Source organism: Homo sapiens, chromosome 5 (assembly GCF_000001405.40).
Source record: "Homo sapiens chromosome 5, GRCh38.p14 Primary Assembly".
Classification (NCBI taxonomy): domain Eukaryota; kingdom Metazoa; phylum Chordata; class Mammalia; order Primates; family Hominidae; genus Homo; species Homo sapiens.
In genome coordinates this window covers 112949550-112952658 of record NC_000005.10, presented here as the reverse complement: position 1 = coordinate 112952658, position 3109 = coordinate 112949550, and the positions used below count along the sequence as shown (strand labels likewise).

The 3109-nt window shown below is 41.5% G+C and overlaps 2 annotated features.

Moving 5' to 3' along the window:
• Positions 1433 to 1482: a silencer, noted in NCBI's record as "silent region_16241". NCBI's record gives its function as "represses an Ori minimal core promoter by ATAC-STARR-seq in GM12878 lymphoblastoid cells {active_cell/tissue: GM12878}" and the evidence as "EXISTENCE:reporter gene assay evidence [ECO:0000049][PMID:35858748]".
• Positions 1940 to 2140: a silencer, noted in NCBI's record as "peak5421 fragment used in MPRA reporter construct". NCBI's record gives its function as "represses an SCP1 promoter by STARR-seq MPRAs in K562 erythroleukemia cells {active_cell/tissue: K562}" and the evidence as "EXISTENCE:reporter gene assay evidence [ECO:0000049][PMID:32103011]".

Genomic DNA, 3109 nt, shown 5'->3' with positions numbered 1-3109 from the left:
AGCCTCCCAAGCAGCTGGGACTACAGGCACGTGCCACTACACCCAGCTAATTTTTGTATTTTTAGTAGAGATGGGGTTTCACCATGTTGGCCAGGATGGTCTCCATCTCTTAACCTTGTGATCTGCCCACCTCGGCCTCCCAAAGTGCTGGGATTACAGACACGAGCCACTGCACGTAGCCTCTACTAGCATATTTTACAGTAAAAGAGAAAGAACTTTTTTTGGTCCAGGATCCAATCCAAGATATATGCTCCATTTATTTGTCAGCCTCTTTAGGTCCCTTTGATTTGCAAGAGTTCCTCAGTCTTTCTTTTTCTATAGATAACTTTTTTGAAAAAAATTACAAATAGAATAATTCTATATAGCTATGTCCCTTGTTTTTTATTACTTAAAATACCTTGGACATTTTCCATTTCATTATATATACATATTATATATAAATACATATCTATATTAATATATATTATATATAACATATATAAAAATATAAATATATATCTATATTAATATATATTATATATAACATATATATTATATAAATATATCTCTATATTATATATTATATACAACATATATATTTATATACATATATATCTCACACACTTATTTTACTGACTGCACAGTATACCGTGTCAATCAAAATGATGTAGGTTATGCTGTGATAAACACTACCAAAATCTCAGTGGCTTAACAGAATACAAGTTTATTTCTTGTGCATGTGAAATCTGCTGTCCTCTATCAGTGGTCTGGGATGCTTAGCATCTCATGGGCCTCCATCCCAATATGTGTTTCTACAATTGCTGCAGCAGAAGAGAGCATGGAGAATCTCAATGGGCTGCTAAAATGCTTCTCAAATTTCAGGGGCCAAAGCAAATCACATTGGCAGCTAAACCTCAAAGGGGAAGACATGTATATTCCCCCCATGTACTCAGAAGAGGTAATCGAGAAATACTGGTGACCAGTGCCCTGGCACAGTGCTGCTCGCCTTATAATCTCAGCACCTTGGGAGGCCGAGACAGGAGGATCGCTTCAATCCAGAAGTTCAAGACCATCCTGGGCGACATGGCAAAACCCCATCTCTACAAAAAATACAAAAAAAATTTAGCCATGCCTGGTGACTCATGGCTGTAGTCCCAGCTACTCGGAAGGCTGAGGTGGGAGGATCATTTGAACCTGAGAGGCGGAGGCTGCAGTGAGCTGTGATCGCACCACTGTACTCCAGTCTGGGTGAAAGAGCAAGACCCTGTCTCAAAATAAAAAGAAAAGAAAGAAGAAAGAAAAAGAAAAGAAATATTGGTGACCACTAGAAATGTACTGAATGACTGTACCATAATTTGACTGGGTGCGGTGGCTCACACCTGTAATCCCAGCACTTTCGGAGCCGAGGTTGGCAGATCACTTGAGGTCAGGAGTTTGAGACCAGTCTGACTAACATGGTGAAACCCCATCTCTGCTAAAAAAAAAAAAAAAAAAAAAGCAGCTGGCGTGGTTGCACATGCTTATAATCCCAGCTACTTGGGAGGATCGTTTGAATCCAGGAGATGGAGGTTGCAGTGAGCTGAGATCGCGCCGCTGCACTCCAGCCTGGGCGACAGAACGAGATTCCCTCTCAAAAAAAAAAAAAAAAAAAGAAAAGGAAAAAGAAAAAAGGCTGGGTGTGGTGGCTCATGCCTGTAATCCCAGCACTTTGGGAGGCCGAGGCGGGCGCATCATGAGGTCAGGAGATCCAGACCATCTTGGCTAACACGGTGAGACCCGGTCTCTACTAAAAATAGAAAAAAGTAGCCAGGCGTGGTGGCAGGCGCCTGTAGTCCCAGCTACTCGCGAGGCTGAGGCAGGAGAATGGCGTGAACCCGGGAGGCGGAGCTTGCAGTGAGCCGAGATCACACCACTGCACTCCAGCCTGGGAGACAGAACAAGACTCCATCTCAGAAAAAAAAAATAATAATATGTATAACATAATTTATTTACATAGTCCTTCAGTAATGGACATTTAGGCTGCTTTCAGTTTTTTTCCCAAAGATATTGATACTTTTAGCTTTTGCACATTTGTATGAGCATCTACAGTACAAATTCCAAGAAGTGAACTTGCAAAAGCAAAAGAAATGTGCATCTAAACTTTAGATAGATCTGGCTGGGTGTGGTGGCTTACACCTGTAATCCTAGCACTTTGGGAGGCCAGGGCCGAAGGATCCCTTGAGCCCAGGAGTTCGAGACCAGCCTGGGCAACATAGGGAGACTCTGTCTCTATTTAAAAAAAAAAAAAATCAATCAATAAAGTTTAGATAGATCAAGGCTGACATTTTCGGTTATCTTCAAGCGAACAGAGGAAGCCACACAACAAAGACAAGGAATTGACACAGAAAAAGAAAGGGAAGAAAGAGATGGGAAAGCCAGAGAGAACAGACTTCAAGCCTGACGTTCCATTTTACGGACCCTCTGAATCCTGACTGTCCATGTCTACTAAACCTCAACATGTGTTTAGTAAATTCTTGTTTTCACTTTTGTACATCTGAATGGGTATAGCTCCTTGCCATAAGTTATATCAGATTCTGAGGGGAGAGAAAGAAGGATGGAATGATCTTTACTCCAATTTAGGTTTCCAACCTAGTAAAGAGTTGGGGCAGAGAAAGAACCAAGCACTGAGTTACCCAATCCCAAGGTTCCCCACTGGACCAATATTTAATGGGTTGAGTTGCTTTTAAATCCAGTACAATGGTTGACAGAAGTGCATATTCCTCAGATATGGAACAAGAACATAACTCAAGGAAAGTCTTACTTTTAAATTCCATCTCTGCACCAGGGTAAATTCTTATTTTTAAAAACCCAGCTCGGATTTCACTCACTTCATGATCCTTTATCAACTGCTACCAGAGCCCACCCTGATCTCCAACTTTTCTAAATTCTCATAACACATAGCATACAAGGTAGACCACACATGGTTTTATTGTTCTCTGTTGGTCTTACCTCTAGGATTGGAGTGCAGTGGCGCAATCATGGCTCACTGCAGCCTCAAGCAATCCTCCCATCTTAGCCTCCCGAGTAGCTGGGACTACAGGTATGTGTCACCACGTCCAGCTAATTTTTGTATTTTTTATAGAGATGAGGT